The 26,530-nt window shown below is 37.2% G+C and overlaps 1 long non-coding RNA gene across 1 annotated transcript in view, besides 3 other annotated features; it reads right to left on the bottom strand.

Annotated features, from left to right (window-relative positions):
* LOC105375482 (uncharacterized) overlaps positions 1-23,251 on the bottom strand; it is a 50,714-nt gene extending 27,463 nt beyond the window's left edge. The window contains exons 1-2 of the long non-coding RNA XR_927924.2: positions 23,138-23,251; positions 12,594-12,702 (exon numbers count right to left, since the gene is read on the bottom strand). This is a non-coding gene — a long non-coding RNA (uncharacterized LOC105375482). The remainder of the gene's footprint in view (positions 1-12,593; positions 12,703-23,137) is intronic.
* Positions 6,341-6,841: an enhancer, noted in NCBI's record as "H3K4me1 hESC enhancer chr7:122572022-122572522 (GRCh37/hg19 assembly coordinates)". NCBI's record gives its function as "activates a minimal SCP1, AML or CMV promoter by ChIP-STARR-seq in naive H9 embryonic stem cells {active_cell/tissue: H9 hESC(naive)}" and the evidence as "EXISTENCE:reporter gene assay evidence [ECO:0000049][PMID:30033119]".
* Positions 24,455-24,964: an enhancer, noted in NCBI's record as "H3K4me1 hESC enhancer chr7:122553899-122554408 (GRCh37/hg19 assembly coordinates)". NCBI's record gives its function as "activates a minimal SCP1, AML or CMV promoter by ChIP-STARR-seq in naive and primed H9 embryonic stem cells {active_cell/tissue: H9 hESC(naive and primed)}" and the evidence as "EXISTENCE:reporter gene assay evidence [ECO:0000049][PMID:30033119]".
* Positions 24,965-25,475: an enhancer, noted in NCBI's record as "H3K4me1 hESC enhancer chr7:122553388-122553898 (GRCh37/hg19 assembly coordinates)". NCBI's record gives its function as "activates a minimal SCP1, AML or CMV promoter by ChIP-STARR-seq in naive and primed H9 embryonic stem cells {active_cell/tissue: H9 hESC(naive and primed)}" and the evidence as "EXISTENCE:reporter gene assay evidence [ECO:0000049][PMID:30033119]".

Here is a 26,530-nt window from a genome sequence, read left to right as displayed (position 1 = left end):
ATTTAACTAAGACGGTAAAAGATCTCTACAAGGAAAACTGTAAAACACTGACAAAAGAAATTAGAGATGATACAAATGGAAAAACATCCATGTTCATGGTGGGAAAAATCAATATTCTTAAGATAACCATACTACCCAAAGCAATCCACAGATTCAACACAGTTTCTATCAAAATATCAATGTCATTTTTCACAGAATCAGAGAAAACAATCCTAAAGTTCAAATGGTACCAAAAAAGAGCCAAAATAATCAAAGCAATTCTAAGCAAAAAGAACAAATCTGGAGGCATCACATTATCTGACTTCAAATCACACTACAAGTCTATAGTAACCAAAACAGCATGGTACTGGTATAAAATTAGACACATACACCAATGGAACAGAAAAGAACACCCTGAAATAAAGCCAGATATCTGCAACAAACTGATCTTTAACAAAGTCGACAAAAAACAAAAACTGGGGAAAGGACACTCTTCAATAAATGGTGCTGGAAACATGAATTGCCATACGCAAAAAAATAAAAATAAAACTAGACATCTATCTCTCATCATATGCAAAAAATCAACCTAAGATGGATTAAACACTTAAATGTAAGACATGAACTACAAAAAATGCTAGAATAAACTAGGGAAAACTCTTCTGGCCATTGGCCTAGGCAAAGAATTCATGACTAAGACTTCAAAAGCACAAGCAACAGAAATAAAAATGGACAAATGGGACTTAATTAAACTAAAAAGCCTCTGCATAGCAACAGAAATAATAAACAGAATGAATAGACAATCTGAAGAATAGGAGACTGTAATTGAAAACCATGCATCCCTCAAAGGACTAATATCCAGACTCAACAAGGAATTCAAACAACACAACTACAAATAATAAATAACCCTATTAAAATTGGGGCAAAGGACATGAGTAAACATTTTCCAAAAGAAGACACACAAATGACCAATAAGAACATGAAAAAATGCTCAACATCACTAATCATCAGAAAAATGCAAATTAAAACAATGAGATCATCTAACACCAGTCAGAATGGCTATTATTAAGTAGTCAAAAATAGATGTTGGCAAGGGTATGGAGAAAAGGGAACACTTATATACTGTTGGTGAGAATGTAAATTAGTATAACCTCTATAGAAATCAGTATGGATATTTCTCAAAGAACTAGAAATAGAACTAAATTTGATATGGCAATTCCATTAGCAAGTTTCTACCCAAAGAAAAATAAATCATTATATCAAAAAAAACTTGCACTTGTATGTTTATTACAGCACTATTCATAATAGCAAAGATATGAAACCAACCTAAATGTTCATCAGTGGATGATTGGATAAATAAAATGTAGCATATATACACAATAGAATACCATTCAGCCAGGAAAAAAAAAGAATGAAATCATCTTTTGCAGCAACATGGATGGAACTGGAGGCCATTATATTAAGTTAAATAATTCAGAAAGCGAAAGTCAAATACCAACTTTTTCTTATAAGTGGGAGCTAAGTACCATGTACACATGGAAATAGAGTGTAGAAAAATAGACATTGGAGATTCAAAAGGGTTGGAAGGTGGAGGTTGGTGAGAAATGAGAAACAACTTAATGGGTACAATGTATATTTTTCAGGTGGTGGCTACACTAAGAGCCCAGACTTCACCAATGCAATATATCCAAGTAACAAAACTGCACTTGTACCTCTTAAATTTATACAAATACAAATAAAAAGAACATATTTTAAGAACACTGTTGAATCAGTGAAGACCGTTTGATTTAAAATACCAGAATAAAAATCTCCCTTCCTTGGTAAGCTGACAGTCACCAGATATTTTCTCCCCCAAAGACATTTGCCAATTCAGGGAATGAGTTGCAGATTGTTTGCAAAAATGGTCATGATAATGCACCCCATTCATGTACGCATGCCATTGGCAATGTGACATTGACACTTCTTCCATCAAGAGGTAGAATCTTTTTCTCCATCCCTTGAATAAGGGCTGGCTTTGTGAGTTGTTTTGAACAATATATTGTGACAGAACTGAAGTTGTGAGTTCTGGAGACTAAGACTCAAGAGGTCTTTTTTTCTTAGAACAAAGACCTGAGACTGAGATGTAACCATGTCTAGTCTATCCTACTAGATTATGATAAGCCAAATAAAGGAGAATGGAGATGTCCAAGTCTAGAATCAACACCATGTACCAAATATGGGAATGAGGCCCTCTTGGACCATCCAGTCCCAGAGATGGCCATAGCTGCATGAGGATCCCATGTGAGGCCAGTCAATAAGTCACCTAGCTGATTGGAGCCCAAATTGCTGACCCACAGAATTATGATCAAATAAATAATTGGGATAGGTTGTTAAATAGTAACAGATAACTGATAAAATTGTGTGTGACCTAGGCAGAGGGACTCTACTGGAAGAAAGAGTAACAAATGAGCTTTTGATGTCTGTGGAAGCTGGCATGATGGATTAGAATCTCAAAGATCCCTAAATATATTCCCATGTTTCCTTATGGGAACTTTTGGAGAGATGGGTGAAACAGGAAGGTCGGGTGTGGCTAAGCCAGTCACTACCAAGAAGCAGAAAGGAAATTCTCACAATTGTCCAGTGCTTAGAAAATAAAGTCTTGCCAGTGGGAGAGAGTTTGTGTCAAACACATGTACAGTATCATACTCAAGATTTTGAAGCTACATAATGTGGAAGGACACAAATTTAAACTTCTGAAAGTCCAAATCTACATTAAGCTTCTGCAAGAAAAACTGCATCTTTCATATGCTTCATGTCTGAGGTCACAGAGGACTGCCAGGCTCTTCATCAAAAACCCAGAGGCCCCATGCTCAATAAAACAGATAAATCAGAAGTAAACTGAGGCTCAATAAAGGGCAACTTAGTTCAATCTTTGCTTAGATTGAGCCTATCAGTCCCTCACAATTTCTACCTAACAAAACAAAGGGCAAAACCTCCCTGGGAAAAATAATATCAACTGTAACACTGTAATTATTTTCTACACACTGTCTAACATGAAATAAAGAATATCAAGACTTGCAAAGAGTCAGAACAACAGGACCAATAATAAAGAGGATATAGCAGAGAACAGAGGCAGACCAACAGGTAATCCAGATATTGAAGTTAGTAAATGACAATTTTAAAATAACTATTTTAAATAAAACATTCTGTAAAATGGACAAAAAGTTGGAAATTTTCCAAAAGAGAATTGAAATTTATAAAAATAATTAACAGAAAAATCTGGGATAATAAAACATAATATCTACCATTAAGAATTTACAGAATGTGCATAACCGTAAACTGGGCACAGCAAAAGGTACCACAGGACAACAGAAAATATCTAATCAGAAACACAAAGAAAAAAGAATAGAAATAATAAAATGCATTTATAATAAACATATGGGAGGCACATTGTCTAAATCTGGGTAACTGGAGAGCCAGAAGGAAAAAAAGAGGAGAGAAATTAGGTAACATTTAAAGATAATGGCTGAAAATTGGCAGGGCGCGGTGGCTCATGCCTGTAATCCCCACACTTTGGGAGGCTGAAGAGGGGGTGGATCACCTGAGGTCAGGAGTTCAAGACTAGCCTGGACAACATGGCGAAACACCTTTTCTACTAAAAATACAAAAAATAGCCAGGCATGGTGATGGGTGCCTGTAATCCCAGCTACTCAGGAGGCTGAGGCAGAAGAATCGCTCGAACCCTGGAGTCGGAGGTTGCAGTGAGTTGAGATCTTGCCCTTGCACTCCAGCCTTGGCAACAGAGTGAGACTCCATCTCAGAAAAAAAAAAAAAAAAAAAGGCTGAAAATCTTACAAAAACTAATGAATGATGTGAGTCCACAGATTAAAGATGCTTTGCAAAACCTTTGCAGGATATTACAAAGAAAACCACACATAGGCACATAATAATCAAACTGCTAAAAACCAAAGATAAGAGGAAAATGTATATGCAGGTGGAGAAAGATTATGTATTTATTTCAGAGAAACAATAAGAATGATGATTGACTTCTCAACAGAATTGCAGAAAGCCAGAAGACAACAGAATGCCATCTTTAAACTACAAAAGAAAAAACGAATTTGTAAAACATAATCAAGTGACCCTTTTAAAACTGGAAAAAAATGAGTATCTAAAATTAGAAACTAGTTTAAAAATTTCACAGCAGACTAGACACAATATAAATTATTATTAGTCAATCTGAAAATTGAACAAAAAAACCCCATATAACCTAAAGCACAAATAAATAACATAATGGAAAACACAGAAAAGTGTACAAGAAGCATTGGGAAACAGTTAAAGGCATAAGATATGTATAATCAAATTTCCTGTAGGAATGGAGATGGAAAAAGAGACAGAAACAGTATTTGTAGATCTAATAAGAATTCCCCAAAATAGACAAAAGAAAGTAACTCACAGATTCAAAAATCTCTGAAAGATTCAAGCAGAATAAATACAAAGAAGAATTCATTTAGGCATGACAGAAAAAGAAAAAAGAAAAAGAGAAAATTTGAAAAGCATCTACAAGGAAAAGGCACACTACATTTACAAATATCACAATATGGTGGCAAGTGCCTATAGTCCCAGCTATTCTAGAGGTTGAGGTTGGAAGATTGCTTTTATCTAGGAGGTTGAAGCTACAGTGGGCCATGATTGCACCACTGCACTCCAGCCTGGGTAACAGAACAAGACCCTGTCTCAAAAACAAAACAAAACAAAACAAAAAAAGTATAACAGTAAGACTGACAATATATTCTTATCAGAAAGACAGAAGCCAAATTACAATGGAACATAATCTTTAAAGCTTGGGGAATAGAAGAGGATGGCCAAAGTAGAATTCTATATGCAGCAAAAATACTTTTCAAAGATTAAAACAAAATAATCCAGACTTCATTACGAACCTACAATAAAAGAAATAGTTATTTAGATAGAAGAAATATTATTCTAGAGAGAAAAAAACTAGAGGAAGGCATAAAGGATAACACTAGTGGAAATTGGGGGACAGGGCATAAATAGAAATTAGTCCTTTGCAAAACAATATTAGTAATGTCACTGGGGTTTTAAATACGTGTAGAATTTAAATTTATGTCAACAATGATTCTAAAAGCATCATTATAAAAATTATCAATATTAGAAATAAAAGAGCCCTACCAGAACCAAAAACATAAAAGAATGTTAGAAAAATTTTACATTAATGAATTTGACAACTTAGAAGCAATTAACAAATTCCTTGGAAAATACAATACACCAAAATCAGGACAAGGAAAAATACAAATAAATACTCCTAAATCTGCTGAAGAAATTAATCAATTATTTTTTAAAGAACAAAGAAAATTATTTTGCCCAAAAGCTTCACTAGTGAAAATTTTCAAATATTTAGGGAAGAAAATACCAATGTTAGAGAATTAGAGAAGTGGATATTTCCCATTTTATTTTAAACAAACATGAATATTACAAGAAAGAGAAATTACAGTTCACCATCTGTTGTAAATATATACATGTATGCAAAGATTCTTTTAAATTTTATCAAATTAAGTATAGCGGCATATTAAAAGGATAATGAATGCATTATTACTAACTAGGGTTTATCTCCAGAATGCAGGGTTGCATAGTCATGCAAAATCAATCAGTATAATTTTCTATATTAACAGACTAAAGGAGAAAAAGACATATGATTGTAATAAATGTGAGAAAAAGTGTTTGGTGAAATTCAACACCTACTCATGATTTTAAAATAATTATTAGCATACTGGGACCAGAAAGGAACATGCTTGCTCTTACACTGTTGTTGATGAAAAATCCATAGCTAACATACTAAATAATGAACGAGTAAATGTTTTCACCCTGAAGTCAGGAACAAAACTCTCACGATTTCTATTCAACATTGTATTAGATGCCCTACCATGTGTAATAAAGCAAGAAAAAGAAATAATGGGTAAAAAGATTAGAAAGAAGTAAGCAAACTGTTTAGTTGCAAATAACATGGATGTGTACATATTTTGAAATCCAGAAAAGTATACCAGAAAACTAAAATCAATAAATGGGTTTGTCCATGGTGCAGGATTAACAAGGTTAATATAAAATATCAATTGTTTTTCTGTATGCAGGCAATGAATAATTGCACTGGAGGGGTGGAAATGGCCTGAGGTCCTGCCTTCAGAACCCCTAGTGGTGCAGAAGGGGCCCTGGCCATGGTGGGCAGGGGCAGGGTGATGCCCAGGCTCCTGATGGATTGCTTAGGTGAGAGTGACTTTGGCTATGCTGCAGTCTTCCTGCTTGGTGGACAGGGTTGCTGCCAGTAGCTGGGGTTTCAGCCACGTGGCAGCAGCAGCCTGAAGCCATGGCAGATGTGGGTGAGGTAGGCTTTCCTTAGGGCACCCTGAAAATGCACAGCCACCCTGCTGCTGGGGGGACAGGGGTCACTGCCATTGGCTCTGGCTTTGGCCCTGGGAATAGCAGCCAGCAGGGACAGTGGCTACTAGTAGCTCTACTGAGTGACAGTGGCTCTACTGAGGATGTCAGTGGGGCTCCAGGAATGTGGAGGTACAGGGGCTGTTGAACCTCAGGGGAGGATGCAGTTTGGTGGGGACTGGACTTTCAAAATGGTGCTGTGCTAACTGGGAGTTAGGGAGATACTCAGTGTGATCTCCCTCTCTGGAGCAATGCCCCTGTGCTGTTTTCAGGCAACTCCCTAAATCAGTCTCAGGGGCCCAGAGGATGGAGGGGCTTTCTTGCATCTAGCAATGCAGGAGTCCACCCTGGGAATCTGGACCCCTGGAAGATCTCTCACTTACCTTTTTTCCACAGTGGGGACCATCTCTGGGCTCCCAGCCAATCCTGGCCCAGAAAGCTACCTCATTTCCCTCTCCTTCCTTGCTTCAGGTGTTTTCTGTCACTTCTCTGTTAAATTCCAGTGTTCTCTTTTAGATGATCTATTAGACGTATGCTTATGTACTCACTATTTGGGTTCTTCTTTGTGGAGGAAGAAAATGACAGCTGGCCCTCTAGTCAGCCATCTTGAGGTCTCTGGATTTGTGTTGCTATGTTTTATTGTTTTATTAATTAATATTTTTGATTCATGGTTAGTTGACTCCACAGATTTGGAACTCACAAATACAGATAGCCAATTGTGCTTTAAATACCATCTGCATTTCTCCAAATAAGTCAAAAAGACCATAGTTGGTGTTTATTATTTCTTTCCTTCATTATCTATTCAATGTTGCCTTTGCCCTTAGCCACCAACTCAGCTGATCAAGATTTTTTTGACAGGCAAGGAGAACCAAATTTTATTCCTTAATGAAGTGAACCCTTGATGACCCTGCCTGAATGGATTTGCTTTAGTATGCCATTAACTCTAGTGAACATGATAGTACCAGAGAGCACTAGTGGATCACCAGGTTTCAGCTATACTCATCTCAGCCCTTACTGTTTATTTTGCTATTATATACTCTGAAAATGCCTTCTGCTGCTTTTTATAACCTTGAGAAGGAACCAAAAATACATATATGAACACAAAATTGTCTTTAGACAACATAAATAATATGACTTCCCTATCGATACATTGCTATTTTTCAAAAATGTGTAGATGCACTTCTGATTAATAACATGCAGTTTTGTTCTCACATGTAAGTAGGCTAAATACTAGGTATGTGAAATAATAGACATTGTAGACTCCAAAAAGTGGGAAGATAAGAGTGGGGTGAGGGATGAAAAATTATCTATTGGGTACAGCGTACACTATCTGCGTGATGAGTACACTAACAGTCCAGACTTCGTTACTGTGCAATATACCCATGTAACAAAAATGCACTTGTATCCCCTAAATCTACAAAAATAAAAAAGTTTAAAGCAGTTTATTTTATTATTTCACTCACTTAACAGTGATTTATTAAGTGCACACATGTGAAATGTGCTATGGTGTTCCAGCAGTATATGTACACAAGACTTTTCCTGATCCAGCCTAGGAACCCTTTTCAACAGTTTGTTGTTTTCAAATGTGCCATTATTGTCTAAGTTCACATCTCCCACCATGAGGTAAAAGTAGCAACTCTTTATTATTCACACGGCCATGTCTCTTTAGAATTCATTATATTGAAACAATATAGATTTTCATGCCTCTGCAATCTCCTAATACCTCTTATTAGGGATTGTTATATGATTACCTATGACACTGTGTTATTCATTTAGCTATCCCTGAATACAGGCTCCCAATAATTTTCTTAAATATTGTTATTGTGGTTCACTGATAATGACCACAAATGCAGGTTTTAACAACAGCATGTGGGGAAATATGAACAATAATTTGCTTTCTGATCATGTTAAATTTACTATACAGGATTTTATAGTTGTATGTTTATATAAACATATAACCACATATCTTACAACAATTTCTTCTTTTGAACTCATTAAGCTGTAATTGCTGTATTCCTAGAAAACTTTATCTTTTGATACCTCATTTTTACCTTTCATAAATCAACAGTGGGGAAAGATACGTAAAGGGACCTTGGGCAGAGTGAGAAGAATGTTCCTATCTTCACAAGGACTGCCCATCTTTCATCTCACATGGCCTAAGATTAATCCCCATGAGTACGACCTCACCACATTGATCAGGGGCAAAAAAGACATCAGCTGAAGGGACCTGTGGAAGTTCCAAAGAAATAGCCTTGGAAGACCTCAGGGGAGACAGATGTAGCCACCTGCAGAGGACTGCCTAACACATGGTACAGAGCCCTAAGGAGGAATTGGGTGACTTCCCTGAGTGCCAGTGGCAGGGGTGGGGGTAGCGGAAGGGAGGGTACATAAAGAATGCCTACCATCACTCTTACTACCCTTAGGTGCAATAAACCAGAGACAGTACCACATCAGCGCACAAACAGGTGAGAGGCAACACATGGGCACAGACATGCAGCTCAAGAAACAGCAGTAGACTGTCAGTAGCCCAGACCCCTGCACTTGTTCTCTGTCCAAAATGAAGCCCAAATCAGCACATGAGCACTATTCTGTCATCAATCTAATCTTAAGGGGTCTCATGAAAGAAACACTGCATCAGGTGGTAAGAATGACTTGCTCACAAAGGCACCTTCTTGTAGCCAGCACCTGGCTATAGGACCATAGCGTGAATTTGGAGCTTCTCGGAGCATCTGGTAGATGTGGGGCAGAGGATTGTGAAGGATACCAAAGAGAAACAGGAAATGGAGCACAAAAATCCCTATGCAGACTCGGAGCATACCACCCAGATAGCACTACAAGCTCCGGCTAATTACAGACAACACAGGGGCACTTAGAAAATGTCAAGAAAGGCCGGGTGCAGTGGCTCACACCTGTAATCCCAGCACTTTGGGAGGTCGAGGTGGGCGGATCACGAGGTCAGGAGATCGAGACCGTCCTGGCTGACACGGTGAAACCCCGTCTCTACTAAAAATACAAAAAATTAGCCGGGGGTGGTGGCGGGCGCCTGTAGTCTCAGCTACTCGAGAGGCTGAGGCAGGAGAATGGCGTGAACCTGGGAGGCGGAGCTTGCAGTGAACTGAGATCGCACCAAGGCAGTCCAGCCTGGGCAAAAGACCGAGACTCCGTCTCAAAAAAATAAATAAATAAAATAAAAAATAAAGATAATGCCAAGAAAGGCAGTCCAAAATGTGGCCTCCTGAGATGAAAGGCCCAGCACAGGGGCCCTGCTTGCCTAGATCTAGAAGAAGCATGCTCCTGGAGTCCTGTGATCCAAACTTTGGTCTTTATCAGAAGCCAGCAACAAGTGAGAAGCTTTTTCTTAAAACAAAGATATTTTCTTTCCAAAGACAACATAAAATATGCTGTTTGTTTTACAGCAAAATAGTTGTAAAAAGGTAGAGGCTTGTGCATTATTTTCTTATGCCATAGGTTTCATAAGTTTACCAAAGTCAGTTTAAATGCCAGTGCATCTGCTGGGTCATGTGTGTTGAGAGAGAGTAATTTGCACTCCATTTTCAACCAGCTAAAGAGACTTTTTGCTCCACATCCCACTCAAAGCAGAAGTCTTATGGGATATCTGCTAAAGATGTTAGAGTAACTTACTCAAATAAGATACCAATGGTTTCCAAACCTCAAAGAGGTTCACTAAGCATTGCGACTCTGGGCCTCTTTCTTAACAGTAAGGAGAGCAAATTACAGCAACTTTTAACTTTGGAGGGGCTATTTCAACTTATTTTAGATTACTGGACACCAGGAACTTCATTGAGGTGGCAGGCTACTGTACTTTTACAGGCTTTGTTTCCTATTCCCTGCATGCAAGTGTGTATCCATGATATCTGAAAGACCTGATACCTGCTCTGATGATGTCAGCAATATAGTAGCCTAGTATGCTCTCTTGTAGGATGATGAGATGATTGAGGTTCTTGTGGATTAAACTGTAGCTTAAATCAAGGGAGTCAATATTGTTTTTATGTAGGATAACAATGTTATGTTGCTATCCTTGCTAGATAAAAGCAAACTGCCTTTGATATTCTCTCTTTGTTGGACATAGAGAGCAACTGCTGCCAGCTAAATTGCTTCACAGTAGGCTTTGTTGATGTGGTCACATAAAGAGAATATATCTACAACATCAGCTGTATTTGAAGTCATCACCTGATGAAATTTACAACCATATTCTACCATTCTCTAAGACTTTGCTGTTTTCTAAACAAACCAAATAGGGAAATTGAATGGAGATATGATAGGAATCACCATCCCTGCATATTTCAACTTTTAGATGGTAGAACTAATCTTTGCAGTTCTCCTAGAATGAGTTTGATTTTGGATTCAAATTTTGCTAAGGGGAAGGAGTTCCAGAGGCTTCTATTTGGCCCTTCCTCTAATAGTCATAATAGTCATGACTTCATGTCATGACTAGGCAGCCAACACAGCAATTCTACCAGGTGTTAAGTATATCTATTTGAAATACACACACATACATACATACACACATGGAAGCACTTAGAAAAAAAATACAGGATATTTTCGGGAACCACTGGGCCCACGGTGAGACAGTCTTGAACCAAAATTCCTTTTATCACCCTGTAGCCTGGTTGAGAAAGACATTCTGGGTCCCCAAGAATTGGAACTGGCTCATTGTTAGTATCTAATAACCTCTCCCAACAAAGTTTATGTGTTTCTCTTTCCCAATGCATACATTTTTTTTTTCTTTTAGTAAATGTTATTGATTCCTTTGGAGTGGGCTGGGGGAATTTTCTGGTACATGTTTACAATGTTATTTTGCCTATCCTTCAGTTAATGTGTTTTAGGTCTATGAAACGCTTTAAGTCTGTGAACTACCTTGAATCTAGTAATAAAATGAGGGACAAGGCTGGGACTGGGGTGAGGCAAGTGACGTGCCTAGAGCACAAAATTTCACTCTGGTTCGTGCAAGTGCTGTTACTGCATCAAACCTTGTATCTTAAATGATTTTCTTGCGTCATCCTATTACCAGCTTTTCAAGGGAGAATGGTTGCTGTGGTCTGAATGTGTCCGTGAAAAATTCACATGTTGAAATCCTAACCACCAAGGTGATGGTTTTACAATATGGGGTATTTAGGAGGTGATTAGGCTATAAGGGCAGAGCCCTTATGAATGAAATTACTTTCCTTATAATAAGGCCTCAGCAAGACCCTCACCCTTTTCGCTATGTGAAGACACAGCAACAAAATACCATTTATCAACTAGAAAACGGGCCCTCACCAGGCACAAATCTGCCAGTGCCATATTCTTAGACTTTCCACCCTTCAGAACTGTAAGAAACAAATTGTTCTTGTTTATAAGCCACCTAGTCTATTATATTTTGTTATAGCAGCCTAAATGGACTAAGACGATGATTCTTTTGTTATTTTTTAATTCAAGTCTTTTTTTTGACAGACCTAGAGTGTTATTTTTGTTGTTATATAGTTCAAATGAAATGTTAATAGATTGCCCATATGGTTTAGTCTTAAAGATCTCATCATCAATTAACCCTATGTGTCAGATAATGTTGATTATCTTCACAACTATTGTCTTAGATTGGACAAATGCCAGGTCATTTTCAGGTATGATCCTATAACCTTCACAGAAGAGACATGCTGAGGCTATAAATTCAAATCAAATTACAGGCCAGGTGTGGTACCTCATGCCTGTGATCCCAGCACTTTGGGAGGCCGAGGTGGGCATATCACTTCAGGTCAGGAGTTAGAGACCAGTCTGGCCAAAATGGTGAAACGCTCTATTAAAAAAAAAAAAAAAAAAAAGTTGGCAGATATGCTCACTTGTACCCAAGAGTTGGAGGTTGCAGTGAGCTGAGATCGTGCCACTGCACTCCAGCCTGGGCGATAGAGCAAGACTCCATCTTAAAAAAAAAAAAAAAAAAAAAGAAATTACAATCTTAATAGGTTTTAGGATCTGATTTTTCTGCTATACCAATTAAATTAGAAGAAATCCTTTTAGAGCAGTCATAGAAAAATCCCTGATACTTTGACCAAACCTTAAACAAAAACTCAACATGTGACTTTGTTGTTTTCTTTTTTTCCTTTTATTTCTCCACTACAGTTAGAAGCAGCCTTACATTCTTTCCACCCTTTATAATAGTCAATGGGCACAGACTCTTCTGTCTGCAATCTTACCTTCAGTAGGCACTTTTCTGTTGAGCACAGATAGTACTATAAGTAACTTTTCATAACAGAAGGTCATGAAGTTCTGGAGCCTCTTCATGGTCACTGGGTCCTCATTACCCTAAAATTTAAGCAAGTAAGATAAACAGTCTCAACTTCACTTCCTTGAGGGTCCATTTCTTGCAGTCACTTCTGGTACCAGTAAATGTGTCAGTCAGGGCCCTCAGTCATAAACAACACAATCTACTATCATGAGTCTAAGCAAAAAATGAATTTATCGAAAGACGTAAGCTAATTCACAGACTCTCTGGAAGGGCCAGGGAGCCACACCCTGAAATCACACAGCTAGAAACAAATGCCCATTCATGCTGTGCAGGCTGCTCTAGTCTTGGTACATGTGAAGCTCAGGAAGCGATGCTCAAAGCTCCCCCAGTACCACACCATAGAATAAAACATAATTCCCCTACATCTGGCCATTTCCTCACATTATCCACATATATACATCTAATTGCAGAATCTAGTCAAAATCAACACCTTTTTGCAAGGGAGTCTAAGATTAAGAGCTTTCTGTTTTCTATCTTGGGAAAACACAACTCATGATAGATGGAAGTATCAGAATGGAAGGAGAGTATTTTAAGAAGTTGGGCAATCATTGCTTTTTAAGGCTACTATACACTATAGCCCAAGGAAAGCTGCCTTTCACCTCCTTAGTCTGAGAAAAAGCCCACACTTAAAGGCTTATTCTGAAACTAACTCTCGTTTCAGTAGTGAAAATATGCTAAATATCCTATTTATCATTGAATTATTTTGGAAATGGCGTTGTTAACCTTGTTTGCTTTTTAGATACATGTATAAAGTAGGAGAGAAGCTGGCATATAAGGGCAAAAGTTTTATACATATATAATGAATAGCATAAAATAAGTACATATTTATTTGGAGAGATTTAGGTCTCAGTCATTTTCTGATTTAAGCTTAAAATTCCCAGTTTAAGTGTACAAATGATATTCAACCTGTGTTGTTTCCCTAATTAACTAAGAACTTTTGTACATGTTTAAGCCATTATTATTAAAAAGTGTTGGCAAAATGGTCAAGATTATAATATTGCTGAATTATATAAAAGTCCTTTTCAGGTTGAGCTAACATTTTACTTTAGCACAAAAAAGAGATATTTTAGAACACGTAAAATAATATTTTTAGTTTTTCTCGTTTTGTTACCAAATTTCAAACCTTACATGGAGGTTATTATAGTATATTTGACACCCTATATTCCTGTGATTAGAGATGTGTATATATATATATATATATGGGCTAGGCATGCTATGTGTCTGAGCTTTGTCTAAATGTTATACAGAAGTTTGTAGGGTTAAAGATACATAGGTTTAATTCATGCAAGATAAACAATAAGTGCTCTCTTTTATACAATATGCACTGCATCTGGACCTTAAACATATAAAAATGGTCAGTGAAACTTCTGTGAACATGAAGAAATTATTTTAAAAGGCATTTAAATGAAAAAAAGAAGTTGGGCAATCATAACTAACAACTGTCTAGTAGTTTCAGAAGCTAATGATAAAGTAACAGTTCATCCCAACATTATGCACACTTTTTTTATTTTCCAGAGGATATTTCAAACTCTTTTTTGAAGCTAGTTTATCTATCTATCTATCTATCTATCTATCTATCTATCTATCTATCTACCTACCTACCTACCTACCTCTGTACATATCTTGTGTACTTCTTAAAAGCAGAAAATATATTTTTCCCTTTTGTGTCTAACATAGTTCCAACAATCACACCTGGCCCATAATAGATTGTCAACACCTGTTTGCAGAAAGAATGAGTGGATGGAACTATGTCAGATTTATCAGACTCATGGCATAAAAGCCATTCTAAAGCATGGGGATTATTTTTTGTTCCAAATTATGCCATTTTCTGTACCTCCAATTATCCCCATTACAGTCCTCTGCATTTTTTGGGAAAATTACTTAAAACTGTAAGAGATTTTACCACATTATTGCTTATAATAAAGAAACATTAGAGACAACCTAGATGTCCAATAATAATGGACCAGTTTAATATGGTTATGTATATTATCTTAAATAACTGACTACCCTCTAGTTATTAAAAATTGTCACAGTGTACATCTCCTATTTTAACTGCCAAGAATTTATTCTTCTTTCATTTAACAGTAGCATCCAAATTTTTCTTTGGGATATATCCCTGCCAACATTGGACATAACCTTGAGGGTGACCACCTTCTCTTGGACCAATGGTAAGCATGTGAGCCAGGCTTGGACAGATGTTCTGGGCATACAATTTGAAAGGCAAGAGCTCTAAAGTTGAAATTTATTCACCCTATCTTGAATAAATTATGCATTGCATTCTTCTCTCTCAGTTCATGAAGCAAGATGATTCCTTAAAACTCTTCTTTATATTTCCTTAAATTTTGCAACTTTCCCTGCATTGTGCACATAAGTTATTTTTCTGTTTAAGATAACTAGAGCTGGTCTTTTGCAAACAAAAACCCTAAATGATAAAATTGGGTTTTAGAAGAATGTTTTGTTGACCTGGAGAAAGAGTTACAACAAATTACTCCATGAAAAAAGTAACTTGCAAAGCCATGTAATATGTTCAATACAAATTATACATGAATACTTGTATATAGAAAACATTATAAATGCATATATTAAAATTAGTTTTTCTAGGAGATGGTGTTATCAATTTTTATTGCCTTGTCTTTGTTAATTCTTCTTTTTCAAATATTTTAGAATACCTATATATTACTTTGTCATTCAGAAACATATTTCAAAACAGAAAAACTTTCATTCTTGATTTTAAATGTCAATTACTTTATTAAAAAACTTATGAAGAATGCTAAATTAATTTAAGAACCAAAGGAAAGAATAAATCTGAGTTTGTTTACCCAAATAAGAACCTGAAGCTTCAACATAGAGAGACAAGTTGACCATAGCCAGTGTACTTGGTTTGTGACTTAGGCAGGCGTCAGGGTAAGTGGGGAAGGTGACTAGATCTTTTGGAGGATTTAATTCTGTTGTTAACTTTGGCCATGGCTGATGAACAAGAATATTCCTCACAATGGCCCCCTAAATCCTTTCTATCTCTTCAACTCTTATAGTTTCTCCTTTTTGTATTGCTTCATTACAACTTGTAATAAACCCAATTCAAATCTCCTTAAGCAAAAAAAAAAAGAAAAGATTTATAAACTTCAGTAATAAAAAAGTTCAAGGATAGAAGTAACTTCATACATGGCATTCAAATAATATCTTCAGGAGTCAATCTCCCGATATTAATTCTGTTTTCCTCTGTGTTTCTGTGTTGGCTTAAAATTTATAAAGGCTCTCTTGGTGATGCCCCCAAAGCTCCAAATCTATGTCTTTTCTGATTAAGTGTAACATAAAAGATATTTTTGTTTTCAACAACACAAAGTCCCAAACTGAGTCTTCTGGGACAATGAGTCATGTGCCCATCTATGAACAAATCACTGTTGACCAAGGGATTCTGATTGGCCAGGCCAGACTTACCCACCCATGGGGCCAGAAGGGCATCAGTCTATCCCATCATGTGGAATAAAAGCAGGGGTGGAATGGATGCCCAAGGGCAACATTAGTTCTGTTACCAGAAGGGTAATCCATTTGAAGCAGGCAAAACTAGCAAATATTTACCTCACCATTTATTTTTAAAATATATTCAAGTATGAAAAGATGAGAGTGAGGATTGAAGTTTTGAAACTTGACAGTTCTTTTCTCTTTGAAGCTCTGTGTACAAAGAAAATGACCACCATGAAAAAATGGAATGTCAGGAAATCTGAGCTTTGCTCTTAGCAATATCAAAACAAAATTATTTAATCTCTCTCAGCATCAGTTTTATCATTTGAAAACTGTGGGAGGGAGGGAAGGGAGTGAGAGAACTGAATAAGATGCGCTCTAAAGGCCTCTTGTAACTGAGTTGCTTGGCTTTAAAACGCATTTTAAAACTTTTTTGTCTTCTCTCTCATATTAGCCTTGAAATATACTTTGAAACTCTTTGTGTCCCTTCTTTCCCACCAGGAACTCCCTTGTACTGCACTTGCTTATCTAATTATGTGCTTGCTTAAAAATTCCGGGTGCTAATCTTAAAATAAAACAGGCATGGAGACTCAGCTATGCAATTCTTCCCATCTAGAGATTGCCTCAAGGCCGTTAATCTACGACCAGCCTTTGTCAACATGGTGTCAGCACACACTCCAGGTGGACAATAACTCAAGACAGCCATTGGAACAAGACACACAGATGCTGCACTCTGCCCCACTCCTGCATGTTTCTCACACCAGTTTTCCCTTTTTAAACCCCTTCATTCAGCCTAAACTTTTGAGATGGTTCTTTTGAGGCCTGCGCCTAGCCATCTCCCAAGTGCTAGTATCTGAATAGAATTGTTTTCCTTTCATTGCACCTCAATTCTCCTATTTTGACTTTTGAACAGTGAGCAGCCAGACCTGAGTTCAGTTACACCATCAGTACCAAAATTCTATCTTTCTTGTTCTTTTAAGATTCTTGATTAGATAAAATCTTTGTTTTTTTTCCCCTTTAAGAAAGTGTTATTTCTAATACATCATGCCTTTTTTAAAAAAATATATACCATGGGAATCAGGTTATTGCTTGATGATCAGGTTTTGAGTAAAAACAAAACTGTAATATCCGATGACAAATATGTAAGGAACATTTTTCTAAAAGCATGAATACATATTTTGATGGGATTGTTTTTTAGACCTGACAGACTAACACATGACTTGGATGCTTTTGCAGGAAAAGGATAATGTGTTAGCAACAAATTAGAGCTCATTATGAAAACATGGTGCACTAATACCAGGTACAGAAATTATGCCATCAGAGTCCAAAGAGTACCCAGCAAATCATAATTTTCATTTTTCAGTGCTCTCTAAAGAGGATGCTATAGAACCTTTGATAGGAAAATTATAAGAGCTATCCTTTATTGAACATCTGCTATGTGTCAGCTGTTTTGTGTGTTCTTCTTAACACTCTATTATAAACCATGTTATGGTATTATGTATAGTGACTATAAGGTAAAATACACATATGAGAAAATTAAGGCTCAAAGAGATTAATAACTTACCCAAGCTCACAAATCTGGTAATTAGCAGAGATGGATCTGTTCTCAGGTCTGTTGCATCTTATGAGTGTGTTGTTGTTTTCACTTTGAGACCATTCCTTTTTGTAATCTCCAAAGAGAGAGTGCCTCACAATTTTGCCTTGTATTTGGAAAATTGTTCCCTAGAAATATCTTTGGCACATTTGAATTTCAGGCAAAAGTATACCAATTGATGGACAGTCTATAATAATGCAGGAGTCATCACAGGTTTTTTATAAATTGCTATTATCTGGCAGAGAATACAAAACTTTGACCTTAAAATGAGTGAACTGCTCACAAGTGGGAGTTGAACAATGAGAACACATGGACACAGGGAGGGGAACATCACACACTGGGGCCTGGTGGGAGGTGGGGGTCTAGGGGAGGGATAACACTAGGAGAAATACCTAATGTAGGTGATGGGTTGATGGGTGCAACAAACCACCATGGCATGTGTATACCTATGTAACAAACCTGCATGTTCTGCACATGTAACCCAGACCTTAAAGTATAATAAGAATAAAAAAGAGTGAATTGGCTCTTATTTCTAAACCCAGACATGCAGTTAGTAGTGATCTTGCAGAAACTGTGTTACTAGAATGTCTTGCAGAAACATTACATTTGGTTACTAATATAGGATCTGTTTAAACATAGCAGTATTAATTTCTCTTTGTTTTTCATGTTATCCACGGCAAAAAAATAAAAATAAAAATAAAACAAAAAAAAACAACAAAAAACAAAAAACCAAAACACCTTATTTGAAGGAACATGCCTCTGGAGCAAGAAGCACAAACTTAACTTAGCAGCTGAAAGTTTCTTACTCTTAGGAATGGTGATTTTTTCTTATTAAATCAGTGGACATAGGTCAGCAGAGCTGCCTCCAATGGTAATTTTGGATGAATTGAGCCCTAAGGCAATTAAGGCAAAGGTTCCCTATCTGCATGTTAATCTGAGTGTCTCACAGTGCCAAAGGCAGTAGCAGAACCCACAGCAATGAACATGCTAATAAAGTAGCTAGATAGCCATACAGGGAAACAGAAGCTGAATAGGTCACTAGTCTTAGTTCAGCTGCAAGATTTCTTGCTATTCTAAATTTTCACAGCAAAGTATCATACAAGCTCAGGTAAATCTCAAGAGGTTAAATAATGATTCACAAGCCAATTGGAATGTTTCCATTTTAGATGTAGTCATTATTTTGGTAATGTCATTGATTGCTTAATTCTGCTAGTTTCTTTAACAGCAAAGGGAAATGGAAACCATTCCTGTAATTGCCAATATACAGCTTTACACAGAAACCAGTTGAACTGGAATGAAACCTATGCCAAGCTTTCAGTTAATGAGGTTTCTCAATCAATCCTCAATAGTTGCTGAGTGCCTGCTCTAGGGTACTCCAGGTAAACTGTGCCATTAGATTCTTTTTATGTAGTACTACATAAGAACTTGGAGGAAAAGGAAATGAGTTTGCCTTAAGAGACAAACTTTGAAAATCAATGTATAAAGCACCAGTAAGCAAATTTGCCTCAGACTGAATAGCTCCCCTGGCTAATGGTAATCTGATTGAATGAAACATATTAAAGGAAGAATGTGTTAATGGATGGAAAAGTGAGTTTGCTGGTGACGGGTGGGGTGTGGTTGTGAGAGACTGAAAAGCAAAGGTAGAAAGTAAAAATCCAAACATCTAGAAGGAAATCCAGCCAACTCAACTATGATGCAAATTCAGCATCGGAATATCCCAACTCTAAGGGCAAATACAAATTAAAAGTAAGAGGCTTAATTCTCCCTGTTAAGAGAGGAGACTACTCTCCCCTTCCCTTTTCTTCAAGCATTTACTTTTAAAAGCTTGTAAACTCTTTCTCTTCTTTTTAAAATATATGTGAATCCTTTCACAAATTTAATAAGCCTCTTGCCAGCCTAATGACCCAAAAATGTCTTTCTCAAGGACCTCAGAACCATCGTTTGAAATATAATCATCAAGGAACATAGCACCCTATCTCCCAGTTTCTGTAGGAGAATGGGAGCTAACATCAGTGGAAGCCTCATTCCAAGTTGCAAAATTATCTCCTGTCATAAATAAGTGAGAAATTGATTTTTCTTTTGAATAAAGCCAATAAGCTGACACAGAGTCACCCCAATTACCAAGTGAAATGAGGACAAACTAGGTGTGACAAATGGTGCTGTTAAGTTTTCCCACTGGAAACCTAGTTATTCTTCATCTTGAGAACATGTATGAAATGGACTGTATCTGTTGGCTATAGGAGGGTGAAATGTCTTTTTGCCTTTGCAGTCTCTTTAACAGATTGCCTGTGATTCACATCACATTGTGGTTTAATGCATTTTCAATAATAAAACTTTTATTTCTCTTTTCATCTTTGCAGTAACGTTTTCTGAATTGGGCAGAGGTTTTGTTTCCAATTATATTTCACCAACACAAGTTCCTTTGCTATGGTTCCATGTTTATTCCAAACTCCTGACGATAAATGATTTTTCCAAAAATGATTGTGTCCAATGCATTAAACAGGTGCAAAAATGTTGATTTGTACGATTATTCTTTTCACTGGACAATAACAAGCATTTGATTATACAGATCAGCCTCTATGAGTTTGATTATTATTAATCTATTCTTAAAGAAGAGTTTGTTCTTGATATGCTATCAAGTTTCTACGTTTGTAGGTCTGAGAACCAACCTCCAGTTTCTGATGAATTGCCAAGATTAATGCTATTCTGTGAGGAATAAACAGCCAACAGGCCTTCCCTAGTAAATTCAGACATGCACATTTTCATACAAAATTTCTTCAGAAACAAGAAGATATGAGATTGAAAAAATTGTCTCCCTATCAAGAATTGATAAATGTTCAAACAAATGTTGTCCAGGTGTTGCTCTTAGCTTTGGACTGAAAAAAGGTAAATATTGGTGAGCCTTCGAATTTCAATCTGGGACATCCAGCTGAATTCATCAAGGTAGAAACAGGTATTATACTAAGGAATAAAGAAAAAATAAACTCATTATTGTACAGTGTCCCCTTCCTAACATCTCAGACACAGGGATTGGTAGACAGCAAATGGAGGATACCACTTTATTTTGACATTAGCATTAGTGTCCACTGTCTCACGTGTACAGCAGTGTAGTGCTTTTGGTTTTGTTCTTTAACTCAACAATCTCACCATTGGCAGAATGTGATAATCTATAATTTATAGAGGTTTATGTTATGTATCTATGGAAATTCCTGAAAAGTATGCTTGAGTATCCAGACTCTTATGTAGCATTGAAAGAAAAAAGAAATATCAATTTTCTGAGACATTTCAAGATCCATTCATTATCTGGAGCTGACCTTTTAACTTGATCACATACTTGGGTCATTGCTCCTTCACTTGAAGCCCTAATGAAAAGCTCTTGATTCCTTTTATTCTATGCTCATTTTGTCATCTAGCCTCTTAAAATAGTAGCATGCCTTTTCCCAGAGTAACTTGACCGTAATATATCAGCTTTTCTCTGTTGACCAAAAAAAGCAAACTCTGTAAATATTTATAGAGGTTTATTCTGAGCTAAACCTGAGTGACCATGGCCCAAGGCACAGTCTCAAGAGGTCCTGAGAACATGTGCCCAAGGTGGTGGGGTTACAGCCTGGTTTTATACATTTTTTAGGGAGACATAAGACATCAATCAGTATATGTGAGGTATACATTTGTTTGGTTCAGAAAGGCAGGACAACTCAAAGGAGGCAGGTGCTTCTAGGCCATAGGTGGACCCAAAGATGTTCTGAATGGCAATTGATTGAAAATGTTAAGTTATTTTCTAAAGACCTGGAATCAATAAGAAAGGAGTGTCAGGGTTAAGATAAGGGGTATGGAGACCAATATTCTTGTGAAGTCTCATAGGTAGCACCCTTAGAGACAATAGATGGCAAATATTTCCTATTCATACCTTTAAAAGGTGCTAGATGCTAGACTCTCAGTTCTCTTCAAGATTGGGAGGGCCTGACGGGGAAGCATCTAGTTATGTTAATAGAGATCTTTACAGACGCAAATTTTCCCCCAGGGAAGATGACTTTGCAAGGCTATTTCAAAATATGGTCAAATAACATATTTTGGGGTAAAATATATTGATTTCCTTCATTTTCTGTCATGTGATGTTATGCCAGAGTAATGCTGGAAAGTAAGATATGCTATATAGGGATAAATAAAACCCATCTGATAAGTTTTTTTTTTTTTTGGAGATGGAGTCTTGCTTTGTCGCCCAGGCTGGAGTGCAGTGGCTCGATCTTGGCTCATTGCAACCTCCACCTCCCGGGTTCAAGCAGTTCTCCTGCCTCAGCCTCCCAAGTAGCTGGAATTACAGACATGTGCCACGATGCCCAGCTAATTGTTTTGTATTTCTTTTAGTAGAGACAGGGTTTCACCATGTTGGCCAGGCTGGTTTCGAACTCCTAACCTCAAGTGATCCACCCATCTCAGCCTCCCAAAGTGCTGGGATTACAGGTGTGAGCCACCACGCCTGGCCCATCTGATAAGATTTTATGGTTTATAGAGCGTGACTCCCTGGTCCCCTTAGGAATTTGGGCCAGAAAGAAAAAAGTTCAGAGTTTAGGCCTCATTTCTATACTGCATATAACCTAAACCTATGGATATAACCTCACCTAGGCACACCCAGGCTGGACACCTATATATTGCTTAAGATACAAAGCCACTAAAATTTATTTTCATTTGAAATTTGAGGTACTTAATTTAGATTCTGCAGTATCTTACCCTCTAGCTTTTCAATTACTGTGTTCTTTTTTTAACTAAGAAATCTTTTAGTTTGTGAATTCTTGGTTTTCCATTAGGTTACATTTTGGTTATGAAACATTTTGGTGGTGTGCCATGGACTAAATTGTATTCTCAAAATTATTATCCATTTGAACTTTATCCAGAAACTAAAAATATTAATGAATATAGTGGCTGGTTTCATTTTAGTCTCATCCCTAGTTTCCATGCTTTGTAAGAAAAAAGGGAGATGACTAGGCTAATAATCTCTAAGACTTACCCCAACTTCAGTCCCCAAATGCATAACATATATAATCATTGTCCATCATACTCAAAGATGAAAAACAACAAATATAGAGAAAACGGGCATTTGGCAATGGGAAGAATAGTCTATAGACTTTCTTCAATCTACCATATGTTTTTAAAATGGAAATTAGTTGGGCAGAGGGGAGAATGAATGAGAATGGAGAATGTTAAAAACTCACTCTGTAGTTTCAGATTTAATTAAACAGTGCTTCGGAACTTCACCATAATACCTGTCTTTCTATCCATCTATCTATTTCTATATATAATCACATGAAAATACATACGATATATATATGCACACATACACACACTCACATACACAGTATTTCTCCTTTCTTTTCTGAATTATCCATAATATTTTGTACCTTGCTTGTGATTGAGATCCGTATTTGAAGTTTCCTTCTTAGAGCTTTTTATAAATTCTTAATCTTTTCAAAAACTTGTTTTTAAAATGCTCTATTTTATCATATGTTGATACAGGAGTTAAGAAGAAATTACTGGCCGGGTGCAGTGGCTCACGCCTGTAATCCCAGCACTTTGAGATGCCGAGGCAGGCAGATCAGGAGGTCAAGGATCAAGACCATCCTGGCCAGCGTGGTGGAACACCATCTCTACTAAAAATACAAAAATTAGCTGGGTGTGTTGGTACGCGCCTGTAGTCCCAGCTACTCCGGAGGCTGAGGCAGGAGAATCTCTTGAATCCGGGAGGCAGAGGTTGCAGTGAGCCGAGATCGTGCTACCGCACTCTAACATGGAGACTCCGTCTCAAAAAAAAAAAAAAAAAGAAGAAATTACTTAAGCAGATAGTGAGGGTACAGCAGTCCTCAGTAAGGTTTTCCTTTTAATGAAAAGTAGCTCCAAATCATTTTCCTTTCTAACAATGAGCAGCCTATAAAATCGAGCTGCAGACATAGATGCTGGCAGTTGTGCCAATCATGTTCAAAACGGGAGCCCCATCTTCCCTTCTCATTATCAGCTACGTGTAGAGTCAGGAGCAGACAAGATGGCGCCAGTCAACGGGCGAGTTCATTTGCATAATAAGATTAAGATGGGGCAGCCAGTCTTCCCTCCCCCCGACCCCACCACCAGCCCCAGCTATATAAACGTCACACCTGTGGGCCCTACCAAATCAGACACCTCCTCTAGCCTGCTTATAAAATCTGGTGCTGCCCATGGCCTTTTCCCCTTTTTCAGACGTCCCTCTCTGGCAAGGAGCTGCTCTCCCCTCTCCTTTCCTCTATTAAACTTTCCGCTCCTTTAACCTACCCACGTGTGTCCCTGTTCTAAATTCTTTCTCTCAGCAAGACAAGGAACCCCAGGGTTTATACCCCAGACAACGTAGCCGCTTCAATGTTGCTTACTAAGGTGCCCTTTTGCTTCACTGTAAAAGGTCACAAATCTCATTAAATTTTTTTTAAGGTGTATCCCCGTCTCCACTTTCCAACAAACCCACCTGAATTTTAGTTACGCTTCAATTGTAAGAACTTTTAATAGTAGCCTTGTCTATTTTGTCTTACCCTTTTCAGTGCTAATCAAGCAAATTATACATAGAAAATGTAGCTATTACAATTAAAATATGATCTTCATACTATTACATCATAAGGATGGTGATTTATTCAAGAAGTATAATACAATTTGTGATTTAAGTAACTATAATTTAGCAGTTAAAATGTCATTTCATCTCATATTCTAAAGTGTTGGAATGCTGCATGTAATCATCAAAACAGGAAGAAAAATTGGGGGTTAAATTGAATTCTGATAAATAGTAAGGTTCACTGACATTCATTAATACCTAAGGTGCCATGGAAACTAAAAGATCAATTTTTTTTAATGTTATCTTAGTATACCTGGGGCTCAGTTGCAAATAATTAAAATAATTATGTCTGATTACTTAAGCTTGTTTCCGTGCTGGCTGAGTAATGTCAGAAGAAGTTAGTGAAATAAAGTGGAGTATGTTATGGTCTTTCTTAGGACCAGGGCAGGTGGTTGGTTATGTACAGCTCTAAGGGGATGCCGTTCATATTCACAGTTCTCCTGGACTTGTGTATTTATTACTGATAGAGACAGGAGACAGTCAAAGGTCCGTGGCGAAATTCCGCTTTCAAGCCTAAAACAGCCTGAAGGCTGAAAAACTGGACTGCTGGTCCTGGATGAAGCCCGCCCCCTTTCCTGACCGATTCTCTCTGAACAGTGCCCACCTGTTCGCTGGGAAGACGGGGTGGAGCTTCGGGAAGTTCGCGCCTTTTGCAGCGGGGAGGAGCCTGGCCTCTTCAGTTCCAGGGTGGTGACCTGCAATTCAATCGGTGAGGCGGGAAACCTCCTAGCAGGACTCTCTCTCTCTTTGCTGAGAATTATTTTTCCTTTTTTCCTTTCACCCAATAAATTCCGTTCCCCATACCCTTCAATGTGTCTGCGTGCCCAATTTTTCTGGTCGTGACACAGGAACCCAGATTTAGCTGAACTAAGGGGCAGGAATTCTGCAACATTACTATCATTGTCAGGGAGCCGTACGTGTACTTGAGGAAAAGGAGGCTTTCTCCTAATATGAACAAAAGCACTGTTCAGGCAACAGCAGGGCTAGACTCTGACTCCAGATACACATAGAAAGGCAGTAACACAACAAGCTGGAATCTCTACTTGACTACATTACAGCTTCAATTAAGCCTCTATTCCTTGTGAAAATATGTGGAAATTCAAATGTAATATTTCCTCAAGAAAACTAGTAACAATCAATAAGGATACCATATTCGGAAATAAAATAGTAAAAATCGCATAGCTTTTATAGTAAAAAAAAAAAAGTAGAAATCTAATGAATTTATTATGTGTTCTTCTCTGTTGCAGTCAATAGTTCTCATACATTGAATACCATGGCCAAGAACTTTGAACATTATAATATTAAATGGAATACAATTAGGCAAAATACTAAAAAATTTTTAATGAGTTATATATTCAAAAAGTAATATAAGAAATAAGGTGAAAAAAGTACAGCTCGAAAAATAATACTATGTTGAAATAAGAATATTACAGAGAAAGAATTGTCTATTAAGTGCTTTTAAAAAGAATTATATAACAAATAGCAAGAACTCAATATCTTAATAAAAAGCTATGAGGGAAGGTAAAATCCATACATTAACACTTATTCTCTGATTTACAATAAATAAAAATAAAAATGAATGTAATAAACTCACCCAAACAGAAAAAGGATAGTTATAAGTGGAAGGACAGTTATAGATGTTTATAACAGACAGAACAAAATATGTGGTAAAGAGAACTTGAATAACAGAAAACCAGTGGAAAACTGTCCTGTGGTCAAGTGCCCTTTGGGGAGCTCATTGCAAAACACAGACAATGATGAAGGCATCAGAATGAACCCCAGAAGTAAGAAGTAAGGAAATAGTGGACAGGAAGGAGAAAAGCATAGCCCCCAAAGTGAGGAGGAAAGTATTCTATGAGTTAGTAACATATAGTTTGGAATAAGAGTATAGTCTTCACATCTTAGCTCACTATTCAGCTACCTATGTGACCTTGGGCAAGCTACTAACTTCTAAGGATTAAATGTATATATAATTATTTATTTATATGTATTTATAAATTATTATTATTAATTCACTGCGTGGTAAGAAAAATAATGGCCTCCTAAAGATGTCTACATGCTAACTGCTGGAATCTGTGCATATGTTGTGTTATATAAAGGGGAATTAAGGTTGCCAATCAAATGATGTTAAAGGATATTATCCTAGATTATCCAGGTAGGCCGA

The sequence above is a fragment of the Homo sapiens genome, chromosome 7 (assembly GCF_000001405.40).
Source record: "Homo sapiens chromosome 7, GRCh38.p14 Primary Assembly".
Taxonomy (NCBI): Eukaryota; Metazoa; Chordata; class Mammalia; order Primates; family Hominidae; genus Homo; species Homo sapiens.
This window is presented reverse-complemented; position numbering and strand designations above follow the sequence as displayed.